This window comes from Homo sapiens, chromosome 6 (genome assembly GCF_000001405.40).
Source record: "Homo sapiens chromosome 6, GRCh38.p14 Primary Assembly".
Lineage (NCBI taxonomy): Eukaryota > Metazoa > Chordata > Mammalia > Primates > Hominidae > Homo > Homo sapiens.
Window position 1 is genome coordinate 162,467,948 of NC_000006.12, and position 16,515 is coordinate 162,484,462.

The 16,515-nt window shown below is 40.5% G+C and overlaps 1 protein-coding gene across 6 annotated transcripts in view; it reads right to left on the bottom strand.

The window, feature by feature from the left end:
- PRKN (parkin RBR E3 ubiquitin protein ligase) overlaps positions 1-16,515 on the bottom strand; it is a 1,380,350-nt gene that overhangs the window by 1,120,531 nt on the left and 243,304 nt on the right. The window contains exon 1 of one of the 6 annotated variants that reach the window (XM_017010908.2): positions 10,242-11,297. The exons of the other annotated variants lie outside the window; for them this stretch is intronic. Within the exon in view, the coding sequence (XP_016866397.1) occupies positions 10,242-10,362 (121 nt within the window). The 5' untranslated portion in view covers positions 10,363-11,297. Of the gene's footprint in view, positions 1-10,241; positions 11,298-16,515 lie in introns of those variants that run through there. 6 annotated transcript variants of the gene reach the window in all.

Sequence of the window (16,515 nt, forward strand, 5' to 3'; positions counted from 1 at the left end):
TCACAGCCTCTAGAGAGTATCTCAAATGCCAGCTGCACAGGTCTTCCTGTGACCACCCTAATTAAGCAGCCTCCCTAACTACTCTCTCATCACCTTGTTTACTGCTACCGTGGTTCTTATCACCACTTTGTTAACTTACTCTTTGTTAAATGTAAGCCCCGACAGGACAGGGACTTTGCCTCTGTATATTCACAGGGACTAATAAAATACGTGGAACATGGAAATTGCTCCATATATAACAACCGAATCAATAAATAGAACATTCTCCCTCACTTGGGTGGCATCCCTCGTCTCACTAATTAGAATGCCTGGCACAGAAGAGACATGCTACAAATGTTGAAGTGAATGAGAAAACTGAAATCTTTTATTGTATCCTGAGTGGCACCCAGAAAGATCTTTGTTCATTAATATTTGCATATAATAACTGGACTGAGAGAAAAATGAATTCATTTGATTGACATTTACTCAGTGTCTGTCCAGTGCTGGAAAGAGCATATGGCAATTTGGCTTGCAAGCACAGAACAGAGGATATCATTTCTAAACTGTTCGGTAATCCCATAAATATAGGACACACACATTTCACCAAGGCATTTGGCAAAGTTTCTCATTATATCTTGTCTTTAACATGCAGGAATGCAGATTGGATGGTAGCCCAGCTGATGGGTTTGGTACTAGAGAGTGGTTAGATGAAGACAGCTTAAGCATGTTCAACAGCTCTTTCAATGCAGCAAATATTTCTTGAGCAGCTCCGGCCAGCCAAGTACTGAGCTTGAGGCTAGAGTAATAAAATAATTAAGTGTGGTCTCTTACCTAGAAGGGTGCATAAGTCTTCCCGTAAAACATTTCAGATCTCTGCCCTGTACCATTGACATTATTTTTAAATTAATATATTGGATGGATATATACAGAATGTACTTCTATCAAAATCATATGAGAATTTTAGGGGAAAAAACAGAAGAAATAATAAATCAGGATCCAAGAGATGATAGGTATCTCAAAGGCTGGAATGAATTCTTTAAATTAAATTTAGTGCAGATATGAGGTCCTACCAATGAATCCAAAATACCAACTACATATTTACAAAATGGGGGAAATATGGAATGTATCCACTCATAAACATTCCTTAGGGATTTTAATTTACAGTACTCTATAAAAATCTATTGTGATATAGTGATCACAGAAACTAGTTTCACCTTCTGGTGTATTTACAAGGAAGTAATCAGCCTGTGCTCAGACCACACTTAAGACTACTGTGTTTGAAGGCACGCACCACACTATAAGAAAAGTTCAGAGGAGGCGGTCGAGATGGACACGAGGATCCTTGCTGCAACAGCCAATGGTGTTGCTAAAACACTGACACTAATGAAGAATTTGTGGAATGTTAAGAAAGTGGGGGGGTTGCAGGGGGGGGTGGGTGACAGAGGAAGTCATTCTACAAAAAGGTACTTGCAGATGCATGTTTATAGCAGCACAGTTCCAGGTTGCAAAAATGCGGAACCAGCCCAAATGCCCATCAATCAATGAGTGGATCAAGAAACTGTGGTATGTGTGTGTGTGTGTATACACACACACACACACACACATACACATACTACTCAGCCATTAAAAGGAATGAATTAATGGCATTTGCAGCAACCTGGATGGGAATGGAGATGATTCTTCTAAGTGAAGTAACTCAGGAATGGCAAACCAAATATCGTATGTTCTCACTCATAAGTGGGAGCTAAGCCATGAAGATGCAAAGGCCTAAGAATGACACAGTGGACTCTGGGGACTCAACAGGAAAGGATGGGAAGGGGGTGAGGGATAAAAGACTACAAATTGGGTTCAGTGTATACTGCTTGGATGATGGGTTCACCAAAATCTCACAAATCGCTACTAAAGAACTTACACATGTAGCCAAATATCACCTGTTCCCCAAAAACCTATGGAAATAAAAAATTTAAAAAAAGAAAGTGTGGGTGAATGGTAGAGAAGGAGGGAGCTAACTGTCCATAAGTATTCAAAGAGCAGGTATGCAGAAGAAATAGTAAACCTGTTTTACACGATCCTAGGGCACAGGACTAGGAAACTACATGAGGACAGATTTTGATTCACCATAAAAAGGCCTGACTATCAGTGCTGTCCTGCGAAAGTGAAGCATCTCGTGAGGAAGTCAGCTCTCTATCAATGACAGGTCTCCCACGGCCACTGGGACATCCTCTGGACAAAGACATCAGACTCAGGACTTAAACGCTGCATAGACAGCAGATTTCTAGACCCTATGTCCTTGACATTTTATGATATAATGAAAAGGGAACTAAAAAATAAGGAAGTATACATTTTCATTCACTCAACCAATGCTTGCTATGGCTAGGCGCTGTTTTAGGCACCGTGGACACAGCAGCTAACTTAGGCAAAGTAATCCCAGCATTTTGGGAGGCTGAGGCAGGCAGATCACGAGGTCAGGAGTTCAAGACCAGCCTGGCCAACACAGTGAAACCCCGCCTCCACTACTAGTACAACAATTAGCCAGGCGTGGTGGCAGGCGCTACTTGGGAAGCTGAGGCAGGAGAATCGCTTGAACCCGGGAGGCGGAGGTTGCAGTGAGCCAAGATTGCATTACTGCACTCCAGCCTAGGCAACACTGCGAAACTCTGTCTCAAAAAAAAGTATGCTTGTGAAGCATACATTCTAGATGGTTTGGGACAAAATGAAACACAAGCATAAAACACCAATCTTTGGGTTTGAGAGGATACTTGGTGCTAGTTTGAGGCAAAGCTACACCTGAGGCATTCACACTTTAATTTTGTTTATTTATTTTTAAATTTTATTTATTTGTTTTTTTGAGATGGAGTCTCATTCTGTGGCCCAGGCTGGAATGCAGTGGTGCAATCTCGGCTCACTGCAAACTCCAGCTCCCAGTTTCAAGTCATTCTCCTGCCTCAGTCTCCTGAGTAACTGGTATTACAGGTGTGCGCCACCATGCCTAATTTCTGTATTTTTAGTAGAGATGGGGTGGGGCGGTTTCACCATGTTGGCCAGAATGGTCTCAAACTCCTGACCTTAGGTGATCGGCCAGCCTCGGCTACCCAAAGTGCTGGGATTACAGGCATGACCCACCACGCCCAGCCCACACTCTATTTTTTATTTATTTATTTATTTTCATTTTTATTTATTTATTTATTTATTGACAGAGTTTTGCTTGTCACCCAGGCTGGAGTGCAGTGGCACAATCTTGGCTCACCGCAACATCCACCTCCCGGGTTCAAGCGATTCTCCTGCCTCAGCCTCCTGAGTAGCTGGGATTACAGTCACCTGCCACCGCTCCCGGCTAATTTTTGTATTTTTAGTAGAGATGGGTTTTCACCATGTTGGCCAGGCTGGTCTCGAACTCCTGACCTCAGGTGATTCACCTGCCTCAGCCTTCCAAAGTGCTGGGATTACAGGCGTGAGCCACTGTACCTCGCCTCCACACTTTATTTTTAAGCTGGAAGTTATCATAGATAGAGCCATTTGTTACAATAACTGCAGTAGACCTTTTGCCTTTATTCCCGCTATATGTTCTCCTTTCCTTTCTAACCTGTGGCTTCCACTCCTCACCACTGCAAAACAATTTACAATTAATTGCTTATACTGCAATTATTAATAAAATATATTTTGCCATTTACTAAACTATTAGATATGTTTTCTGAGTTTTTACACATTAAAACTTTCCACAGTAAACATTATAAGTGTTCATTATTAGAATTCATAAATTATACAGAAGTGCAAAAACTAAAGGATGTATCTACTTCTGTTACTTTCACAGAATAATCTATGCATATGTACTAATACAGATTTAGACATATGTTATCCCAAATCTGGTAGTACTTTTGTAGCTTTTCATTTTATTCTAGTACTAAAATTATTAGAACACTAGTCTTTTTGGAATTGATTTTTAAAGTCCCCTAATTGGAATTGCAGCCATCTTTTTGGTCTGTCCTCCGATTGAAGAAGATCTAACAGTGCAATCATCATATGACACTTAATAAGCATCCTTGCTGGGCACCTGGTCCATAAGAACATTGAGAATAAATACTTTCCTGACATTCAGTCAGATTGATTGATGCACATCAAGTCAATGACACTGGGGAACGCTTTGTGGATGGAATGACTACATAATAACAGGAAAACTCTAGGAAGATACACTTAATGAATCCTTATTGATCTAAATACACCTAAAACTTGTTTGTAACTTTAACCTCTGCCACATTATAGAGGAAGACATTCCAAACTCAAACTTTTTTTTTATATACTTTAAGTTCTAGGGTACATGGGCACAACATGCAGGTTTGTTACATATGTATACATGTGCCATGTGGGTGTGCTGCCCCCATTAACTCATCATTTACATTAGGTATATCTCCTAATGCTACCCCTCCCCCCACCCCCCACCCCAAGACAGGTGTGATGTTCCCCACTCTGTGTCCAAGTGTTCTCATTGTTCAATTCCCACCTATGAGTGAGAACATGCAGTCCAAACTCTAACTTTTATTTTATTTTATTTTATTTTATTTTATTTTATTTTTTGAGACGGAGTCTCGCTCTGTCGCCCAGGCCAGACTGCGGACTGCAGTGGCGCAATCTCGGCTCACTGCAAGCTCCGCTTCCCGGGTTCACGCCATTCTCCTGCCTCAGCCTCCCGAGTAGCTGGGACTACAGGCGCCCGCCACCACGCCCGGCTAATTTTTTTTTTGTATTTTTAGTAGAGACGGGGTTTCACCTTGTTAGCCAGGATGGTCTCGATCTCCTGACCTCATGATCCACCCGCCTTGGCCTCCCAAAGTGCTGGGATTACAGGTGTGAGCCACCGCGCCCGGCCCCAAACTTTTATTTTATATATATATATCTTAGTAGAAGTTGAACAAATATTTCCGAAGCTGTTCAGAACAAGGTAGAATTCAACATACTGGAAATGTGTGTGTGGCCTGAAAATTATAGCCAGCTACTCCAGAAACCTATAGTTGTGGTGTTTTGGAATTTGGTGACTTGGCCATGGTTATTCAATTAAGGAAAATATTCTCATACTTATTTTTATATCAGTCTTTCCTACTCAGGTCCTTCAAAGAAAACATGGTTAAACCTATTCTCTCCCCTTCATAGTTGCTTAATTTTATTTTTTCCAACCCAGGAAGTCCTAACTTGTACAAGTGTATCCTCATAAAATACTAATGCCTTGGTCATGTTATCTACTCTGAAGTCATTTTAAGCCTTTCCCTTTGCTAGGATGCTTACCACAACTGGATATTTCAAGTATGGAAGCACCATGATGTGAAGCAAAGATGGGAAAGTAGTTTTATTTCTGTTTGCAAACAAATGATGTCTCCTTCTTCACTGGTATTTTAGGTAAAGGCATTAGGAAAAACTACTGGCTTCAGAGAAGAGGACTTAATGACACTAAGTTGTGTGATCTGGTGAACACACTTTGAATCAGTTTTGTCCAAATGCATTTCCCTATGTTTGCCAACATCAAGCTCCCTATTATAACATAGTTTCTAGAACAGTGCTGCCCAATAGAAGGACTAGTAAAGCCACCGATGTGGGCCACATATAAAATTTTAAATTTTCTGGTGGCCATGATAAAAAAGTAAAAATATGCAGATATAATTTTAATATTTTATGTAGATGCAAAATATTATGATTTCAACAAATAATCAATATAGGAGGTATTAATAAGATAGTGGTCATTCTTTTTTTGTACCAAGTTTTTGAAATTGGGTGTATGTTTTGTAATTACAGCACAACTCAGTTGGGACTGTCCATATGTGGCTAACGGCTACTATATTGGCAGACAATTCTAGAACCAAGCTGAAAACCATAAACTGATGGCAAGTGTGGAAAGAGCACAGTTTGCACTCTCAGACTACTAGATTACCTAGACTCTTTACTCTTGAAACATCAAATATGAATTCATCTATTAAAAATGTCACCATAATTATAGATGTAGGTTAGCCTTTCTTTTACAATGATGGGGTAAAAATAACTGATTTCCCACCAGCTTTCCGGTGCAACATCCATTACCATAATAAAGCAAATTTAAATTTAATTAGAATGTAATTAAAGGTAATGTGGGTGATTCCAGGATAGCTGATTTGTTTTACTAGTAACAGAAACGCCCTTTGCCACTTATATGAAGCTGGAACAATATTAATCAAATGACTTATTATCTGAGAGAACAAAGTACAGAAATATTTACATAACATAGTACCATAGGCAGAATATCCACGTTAAACTAATGTTAAGAACGACAAAGGGAAGATACGCCAGCATAATACATCTTACTTCTTTTCCAATAATACAACTGGGACATTGCAAATACCCAACTTCTAGAATCTGTCAGGAAGAGTAATCTACATGTATTTAATTCTCTCCTGCACATGTTGAATGACTAAATTGTGAAAATATATTTGAATGCTTTTTTTTAGAAATCACTATACTTCTTTGTTAGGTTACTTAATTTTTAGCATAAACCCACCAAATCCCATGTCAATTGTTAAAAATGGATCTATTCAAGCCTACAGTATAAATTTATGGTTTCCCAGGAAATCACAGGAAAGTTGTTGTAAAAGGTATTAAAATTATTGCCAATAAATCCCATGTTTAAAAATATTCTATTAAATGTAAATGTTGAAAGTAGTATTAATAACAGCTATGTTCAAAGAAAACTTTAAGGGCAAACATAAAACAATTTACTTGGAAGGCCATATTACAAGATTCAAAGATTTGCTAGATTCTTTGAACAGGTTTCGATGGGAGATGATGATCTTGTGATCTGTAGATAAGAGACTCTGAATATCAAGTGATCAGAAACCAAAGCAGAGATAAGGCTACTGAAAATAGCCTATTTCCTGTGCTGGTCTGGACCTAGGCTTTGGGGTATAGGCAGGCCTGATACCAGAAGTCCGATGTAGCAAAAGGAATGAAGGAAAAAGATGAAGAGACAAAAACATGCTGACACTGTCATTATTTCTACAAATGTCAAAATAAAATTCAAAATGAAATCGATTTTTTAATTATAAAAATTCTTCTGAGAATTGTTTATTTTCCCCTCCAGACATAAGTAAACTTAAGGCAAGGAATCATATTTACCTTCTGATATGCTTCACATAGAATTTGCCACTTTTTATCAGCAATATTAAAAATGATTATGTGATGAATAGCTTTCAGTCTATACGCCCTGAGAGCAGGCAAGAAAAATTATTCAAAAAAACAAAATGCTTCTCACTATTAACCAAAAAACAGCCTATGAAAAGGCACAGTCAAATGATCTTGGTCAACAAGGCTAAGGCACCCATTCATTATTTATTGAGGGCTTATTGGGTATAAGGACATCTAAGAATTATTCAACGTCAAGTGTTGTGGGCCAAAAGCCACAAGAGAAAAGGATTTTCACTTCCAAGTCCAGCCTAATAGTTCCAATCTTGGAAAGAACGAGAGAAATAACAGAGGAAGAGAAAAGAAAGAGAAACTTGGAGGAGGAACAAATAAACAGCAGACATGTTGTTACTGGAGAAGACAAAAAATGCAGTGAGAAGATAGAGACGTAAGAACCGCGCAGGTACATGCATGTATGCATGTGTGTGCATGTGTATGCATGTGAGTGTGTGTGTGCATGAGTGTGTGTGTGTTTGCATGAGTGTGCATGTGAGTGTACGTGTGCAAATCAAGAGACACAAGCACAGGGCTGCGTGTGCAATGCGGCTAGCTGCGTCATGCCTCCGGAAGTACAAAACACCACTATTTATTTATTTACGCCTCTGGAAGTACAAAACAGCACTATTTATCTATTTATGTATTTTGAGACGGAGTCTCGCTTTGTCGCAATCTCAGCTCACTGCAGTGGCGCAATCTCAGCTCACTGCAACCTCCGCCTCCCGGGCTCAAGTGATTCTCCTGCCTCAGCCTCCCAAGTAGCTGGGATTACAGGCGCACACCACCATGCCCAGCTAATTTTTGTATTTTTAGTAGAGACAGGGTTTCACCATGTTGGACAGGATGGTCTTGTTCTCACCTCGTGAGCCGCCTGCCTTGGCCTCCCAAAGTGCTGGGATTACAGGCGTGAGCCACCGCACCTGGCCTAACACCACTCTTTTTTTTTTTTTTTTTGAGACGGAGTTTCACTCTTGTTTCCCAGGTTGGAGTGCAATGGCACGATCTCAGCTCACTGCAACCTCCGCCTCTCGGTTTCAAACGATTCTCCTGCCTCAGCCTCCCGAGTAGCTGGGATTACAGGCATGTGCCACCACGCCCTACTTATTTTTATTTATTTATTTATGTATTTTTAGTAGATACGGGGTTTCTCCATGTTGGTCAGGCTGATCTCAAACTCCCGACCTCAGGTGATCCACCCGCCTCGGCCTCCCAAAGTGCTGGGATTACAGGTGTGAGCCACCGCGCCCAGCCCACTCTTTTTGAGGGTAGGGTTCACAACTGTGTATATGTAAAATTTTTAGTCTCAAGATTTCTTTAAAGTGGTAAACAGTCATGCTGCAGACTCATAAACTGTGTAAATTCATACAAAAGTTTAGTAAATCTTCTCAATCCCGTTTGTATAGGCTTTCTTAAGTGAAACAAAGGGGCAGAAATAAACAATAGGTAATGATAACTGTGGAAAAGAAAACAGGCAGCACAGCATGAGGAAAGGACGAGCACAGGGAAGCCCAATGGGTCAGAATGATGTGCAAGCTCGGTCTTGCCTGGTTCAACCTCATGAACAAGAGAAGATCAGCAAACGTGATACCCCAGCCACAAGAGTAACACTGATAATAATAATTACGATTCTATCGTCATCATTCATGTGGAGGTGCATGCCAGGTGCTTTCGAATTGTTAACCACCCACAAGAAGCCTGAACACCTAGAGTTCTCCTCATCGTGTACATAAGCAAAGGGAAGGGAGAGAGAGTCTTTAATTGGCCCCAGAATATACAGCAATAAATGGAGGAGCTGAGGAGTAAGGCCAACTGGTTCTGAAATCCTGCCTGTGGTGTCTGGCTGTAAAACTCTGACTCTTGCCTAAGCTGAAGTCTAGCCTGGGACCTGAAGTGCAGCAACTCTGACTGAAGCTGGATGGTTACTCTACTTCCAGTATTGTGCTCAATGAAGAGGTCAGTTTTTGAGCAAATACACTTGACTCTTTGAGGGAGTTAAGAAAAATGAAATTGAAATAAAGCCAGAATATACACCAGAGAAAATTTTGGTGTCTATTTTCCTGAAATCACACAATCTATCTTAAAATTTTTACAATGCTCAAAGGTGTTTCATCATTGCCCACCAACTTCTATCCTGGTAGGTACCAGGAAATTATCATCTCTCAGGTTTCAAATAAAGCAGGTATAGGCCAGCTGTTCTTGCTCACAGTGATACTACAGGCAGTCAAAAAATAAATTCGCTGATGAATGTTACCTCCTAGAACTTCCACGCGTGGGACTTACACACTGATGCACGAGTTTCCATTGGCATTTTTGACAGCATCTATACTCCTCTTATATCAACAGAATATGTCCAGAACTACTGGCTTTATAAGAGTCGAGTTATGCAGTTGCTACACAGGGTCATTTTGCCAGTCCTTTCATTCAAAACCATCTTTGGTGACTCCCTTCATTGAGAACAAGATGCAAAGTCTTCAGGTGTTCACAGTCCTTTACGATTCCCTTTTTCCACCTATTTCTTGCTATACTTTCCCCTTTCAGTATCCACTCTTTTCTCATCCTCCTCCTCTCTGCTGCGGCCTCTCCTACTTCACAAACACCAGCCACAGGGAGCTTGTTTCTAGGTCATGCTTCATATTCTCCTGCATAACTGCATGTTCTCTGGGATAACCTTTCCCCTACAGCATCTCTAACTATTCAGGAAGCTAACCTTGTGGAAGGTCCATTCAAATTATACCCGTCTTACAAATCCTGCTCTATCTCTTGCTGTTGTTTGGCAACACTAGGATCCTTTACTGTTTGTCAGCCTCATCCTGTTTCCCGGCTTCTGCAACTGTTTTTCTCAGTACAGTGCAGAGTCCCAGAGTGCAGGGTCCTAAAGCGCAGGGTCCTAGAGCACAGGGTCCTAGAGCGCAGAGTCCTAGAGCACAGGGCGAACATGGTTATCCACGGTGAGATCTTCTTCCCCTAGTACCTACCACAGTCTCCCATATAGGAGACATTCACATGTATTTGTTTAATTTTATGAACAACTGTAGAGCTTACTCTGAGAAAAGAGGTTTCATACTGACCTGTAATTGGATATTCTCTTTCTGGCCTAGTATATAACCTCCCTGATTCAGGCTGCGGCTCAGAGTTCTTCAAAGAGTAAGTACAGTTATCACTGTTGAAAGTGACTCTGGCTGTAAACATCAAAGACGTGATTTCTAATGTTGTTGTGGCTGAAACTCCGCTTAAACACTAGGGAGAACAACAAGTCCACAGAAGTCACATGTCTGTTCATTAAACGCACAGGAAGACCTTGAACTAAACCCTTCACAAAACATCTAACACAGAGCTTGCAATGGTGAGGAGCCTCTCTCTCCTGCACAGCCAGTGAACAATCTAGGCTTGGAGAGACAGAGAGAAGAGCAAGAGCATTCTAATAAGCAGGTGTCTGTGACCTCCTGAGTAACCAACCGTGAAACCAAGAGATAAGTACAGTCATGGGTCACTGAACAACGAGGACACATTTTAAGAATTGCGTTGTTAGGGGATTTTGTTTTGGGAACACCACGGAAGGGACTTACATAAACCCAGATGGTACAGGCGACTCCACACCTAGGCTCTATGGGGCAGCCTGCTGCTCTTGGCTACAAACCGGCACAACATGTTTACTGAATGCCTTAGGCAACTGTAACACAACAAGAAACATTTGTATATATAAACACAAAAAAGTAAAGTAAAAACACAGTATAAAAGGTAAAAAATGGGACACTCGTCTAGGAAACATGGAGTTTGCAGAACTGGAAGTTGCTCTGGGTGATCAGGGAGCGAGTGGCGAGTGAATGGGAAGACCTAGGACATGACTGTCCATTACCACAGACTTCACCAACACTGCACACTCAGGCTACGCTAAAGTTAGAAAAAAACATTTCCTTTCCTCTGTGATAAATTAACTTTAGCTTACTGTAACTTTTTTTACTTTATAAACTTTTTAACTTTTTGACTCTTTTAATAATACCGGTTTAACACACAAATGTATTGCACAGCTACACAAAAGTATTCCTTCTTCATATCCTTACTCTATATGCTGTTTTCCACCTTAAAAAAAAAAACAACCTTTAAAACTTTTTTCTTTTTTTTTGAGACGGTGTCATGCTCTGTTGCCCGGGTTGGAGTGCGGTGGTGTGATCTTGGCTCACTGAAACCTCTGTATCCCAGGTTCAGGAGATTCTCCTGCCTCAGTCTCCTGAGTAGCTGGGATTACAGGCGCATGCCAACATCCCCAGCTAATTTTTTTTGTATTTTTAGTAGAGATGGGGTTTCACCATGTTGGCCAGGCTGGTCTTGAACTCCGTATCTCAGGTGATTTGCCCACCTAAGCCTCCCAAACTGCTGGGATAACAGGCTTGAGCCACCATGCCTGGCCTATCTTTAAAACATTTTTGTTAAAAAGCAAGACATAAACACACAGTAGCCTGGGCTTAGAGAGGGTCAAGATCATCAATATCACTGTCTCCCACCTCCACTCACATCTGGTCCCACTGGAGGGTCTTCAGGGACAATAACAAACATAGAGCTGTCATCTCCTGTGATCACAATGCCTTCTTTTGGACACCTGCTGAAGGACCTGCCTGAGGCTGTTTTACAGTTATCTGTTTTTTTTTCTCAAAAATAATTAGTAGGAGCCAGGCGCAGTGGCTCACGCCTGTAATCCAGCACTTTGGGAGGTCGAGGCAGGCAGATCACGAGGTCAAGAGATTGAGACCATCCTGGCCAACATAGTGAAACCTCGTCTCTACTGAAAATACAAAAATTCGCTGGGCGTGGTGGCGCATGCCTGTAATCTCAGCTACTTGGGAGGCTGAGGCAGGACAATCGCTTAAACCCGGGAGGTGGAGGTTGCAGTGGGCCAAGATTGTGCCACTGCACTCCAGCCTGGGTGAGAGAGCAAGATTTTGTCTCAAAAAAAAAAAAAATAGTATAAGTTCTATAAAATAACTATAAATACACAAACCAGTAATATGGTCATTTTTCTAATCACGTACTATACATAATTGTATGTGCTGGACTTTTACACAATTGGTATCGTAGTAGGCTCATTGACCCCAGGGTCACCACGCACACGAGGAACGCATTGTACTAGGATGTTACCATGGCGAAGACATCACTAGGCTATAGGAGCTTTTCAGCTCCATGACAATCTTATGGGACCACCCTTGCAGATGTGGTCTGTCACTAACTGAAATGTCATGGGGCACATGGCTGTATACATTTTTTTACTGTATTTGAATGATACGGACAATTACTGACGACCAAAAATAGGGAGGAGAGGAAGAAGATGACATGGAAGTAAGTAGAAACTATTTCTGAAGGAGAAAAACTTACATGGGAAAAAGACTCCTTCTTTGTGCCATGGATTTGCCAGTTGACATGACTGAAAAGCAGTCACCCAAACAATGACCAGGAGGACCGAGTGCTGCTGGTGAAGCCCACCAGAGACCAGCGGACGGGGACTGCTGCTGTGTTAGCGAGGGGAAAAACAGCCTAGGACACTGCCCACCCCATCTTCAAGGGCTTCCCTGACTCTAGCAAATCATAAAAACCAAAACCCATAAATGATGAGGCCACCAAGTCATAAAGAAGAAGTCAAACCCAATCATTACCCTTTTGTTAGATAGTATGGAAGGAGACAGTGTATTTTAACTGATTCTCTTTTTTTTTAAGACAGAGTCTTGCTCTGTCACCCAGCCTGGAGCGCAGTGGCACGATCTCACCTCACTGCACCCTCCGCCTCCTGGGTTCAAGTGATTCTCCCGCCTCAGCCTCCTGAGTACCTGGCACTACAGGTGTGCACCACCAAGCCCAGCTAATTTTTGTGTGTGTGTGTGTGTGTGTATTTTTAGTAAAGACAGAGTTTTGCCATGTTGGCCAGCTTGTCCCAAACTCCTGACCTCAAGTGATCTGCCTACCTCAGCCTCTCAAAGTGCTGGGATTACAGGCATGAGCCACTGCGCCTGGCCTAAACTGATTTTCATTCTACTAGAATTAATGTTCTCATATAAAGAATTAAGTAGTCAGCTATATGGAAAAGTGAAGCTTTCAAAAATAACCCATTCCCTATTGATCTAGCCAGCTTCAGATTTATAATAGCAAACAGGATACCAAATTATAACGAGACCACAAATTCTTATCTGCAGAATCCTCATGTCCATGGAGAGGTAAACTTAAGTCTCTTCAAAATCTGTAAATACTATTAGCTAATTATTCTGAAACTGGTTGCTGATACATTTTAAGGTTTCTCTTAAAGTTAACTCACTTTCTAAGATTCTACCACTACTGGTGGGGGAAAAAAAAGCAGTTTTTTTGTTAACGTATAATGTTTCCATTAAGTGGAAATTCAAGGGCAGGCAGATGCTATCTCTTAAGAGTTGAGCATTTTGTATTAAAATTAACCAGCATGATATTTGGCATCTCACTGGGATGCAAAAGGGAACATTATTTGCTGCTGCGTGCCATTAGTGCCAGAAACATTTTTTCATAAAATGAAGAGTGCAGCTCCACTAATCTATTAGTCCTAAGCCATTTTAGATCATACCATTGATTAACTAAAATATTTTTTTTTCAAATGACGGCTGATGACAGAGCACTACCTTAAAAGTCAAAGAACTATAAATTAAACATGAATCCAGTTACCATGTTCTGTCAAAACAAGAAATACATGCGTGTGTTTGTGTCCTTTATATGGGCCAACATAAGCTTTTCCTATTATTTCTGGAAATATTCAGATTTATTAGCACACATAAAATCCTCAGACTGAAATTATTATAACATTTATTTCAAACTGAAAAAAATACCAAAGGAGTAATCTGGGGGGCTTGGTGTCTCATGGTGGACTCCTATTTGCTTTTGCCCCTTTTCTTCTTTGGGTCTTACCTTCCAGCATGCTTAAACTTCTAGTTATAGAAACCCATGGCAACACTCACTGCCCAGAATAACTATGTTTACTCAGATAATGAAAAGTGGTGTGATAACCTTATCTCCTGGGATAATTAGGTTATGTCCAAAAAGCCAGGCTCCTTAAAGATCCTTTTCAATGATCTCCATGCTTGATACAGGGCACTGACTTTACTACAAAAATATTTAAAACACTGTGGCTTTTCATACTTTCACAACTTTTTATTTTATGTTCAGCTGCTACTCAAAAAACTAACTTTGTGCAGTATTCCAACCAATACATCATCACATAAATACATCTTTTACACAAGCAAGTGCACTTGAAGAAATTCCAGTTGAAGGCATACAAGAACCTCCAAGGTTACCCAGGAAACCTATTCTGACGAGTTATGTATATGTCAAAACACATGAGTCTACATCTTCATAAAACTGTGTGACTGAGAGTGCATCAGGGGTTAAGCTACGTAAACAAACAAAACCAGCAATAATGGCAACAGAAATATTCACAATATTGGAATCAAAAGTAACTATTTGTGACATCTAATGTTGATTGGTTATCCATAATTTTTTAAAGCCTTCATATTAAAAACAACGAAAGAAAAATACATGAACCAAGTATACTATGTAAAATGGATAAATGAAAGCAGAGAAAAGAAAGCAAGCAAGAATAAATATCTACTCCAAAACCCAACTCTAAAATGAGATGCATAGGCTCTTTAAATCACAAAATCTGTGTGGCTTACTAATGGAAGGATCCTTAGAGATCATCTTGTCCAATCTACCTTCCAACGTGGAAATTTATTATCCATCATACCTAATACCAAACTGACGCAGTCCAGCAGAAACACTCCGGCCTGAGGGTATGCACTGATTCCATTGTTGGACAGCTAGCTCTATTTGTTACAGCCCAACTTTTGACGGATGTGTAAGACTTGAAGACATTAAGACCCAGAAATGACTCTATGATTATACTATGATTATAATGACTATATGATTATACCTCATTATAATTACTACAGCCTCCATAAATATATGCTACTCAAAGTGTAAAAAGTCACATCACCAGAAGACAAACATAATGTGAACCCCTATCCCAAGGATAATTTATCTGCCATATGCACAAAACCCAGTCTCACGATATTCGAGTCTGGGTCCTCTCTGAGAAACAGACATCAAGATCTGATGACATGTGCAAGAAATTTATTGGGTGAGACACCTGTGAAGGAAGCGGGGATGGATTCTTTGGGGAGTTGCGATTGTTTTGTGTCTTATGTGTGGTGGAGGTAAAAGAAGTTATGCCTATGTAAAAACACATAGAACTGTGCACCAAAAAAGTTAATTTAACTATATGCAAATTTTTAAAATTAGAAAATATATATTTAAAAATTTGGAGGGAGGTGTAGGAAGCTGAGAAGCATCAGACTGGGATACAGATTCAACTCTGTGAAGGAGGCAGTGGCGGCAGTGGGGGCGGGGAAGGAAGGAAAGAAGGGACGTAGGGAAGGAGGGAGAGAGGGAGAGAGGGAGACGGGGAAAGGAAAGAAGATTTTAAATATGTGATAACACATGATGTTCCAAAAGGTGAAGAAAAACAAGCCATCTCACAGATTGCTGGAGGCAGTCTACAATGGTAAGGCTACCAAGAAGGACAAGTTGGACAGCTCTATCAAAATTAGAAAGGCACAAGCCCTCTGATCCAGCAATTCTACTTTTAGGTATTTACATGACAGAAATATGTAGACATATGTAAGATGATGTGTCTATAAAACTACTAATTGCAAGATTGCTTATAACAGCTAAAGCTGAAAAAATTCAGCTCAGTGTCAATAATAGGGGACAAGTTAAGTTAAATACCTTGTGTTCCATTCATTTAAGGGAATACCATACATTCTTGAAAAATACTGATGCTCATATGTACTGATGTAGAGATATTTCCACTGAATGAAACATTGCAAAAATATGCTATCATTTGATCATCTGTATTAAAAAGATATATATGGTTGTCTATGCATAAAGTATGTCTAAAAAAGAAGAAAGCAACGATAGCATCAGATGCCTCTTAATATAAAGGAACTGGCTGTTTGGGCAAGAGAAGTTGGTGGGAAATGTCCCACTGTAAATCCTAGTGGAAAATTTTGAAATTTGAATCATGTAAATATATTACCTGTTTTGAAAGGTAAGCAGACTCTATTTTAATGAAGATGAAAAAGATCATTCTAAATGTTAGGTGAAGAATACGGTTCATTAGGGAATAAGTGTCAAGGCAGGAAGACCTCTTCAGGAATGGTGGTAGCAAAACAGGGGGTCTCCGTGGGGCTGACAGACCCTGCATACATGCTAAAGATGCAGCCAACAGGAGTTGATACTGTAACTAGATATAATGGATCGGGGGAAGGGGACTCAGGC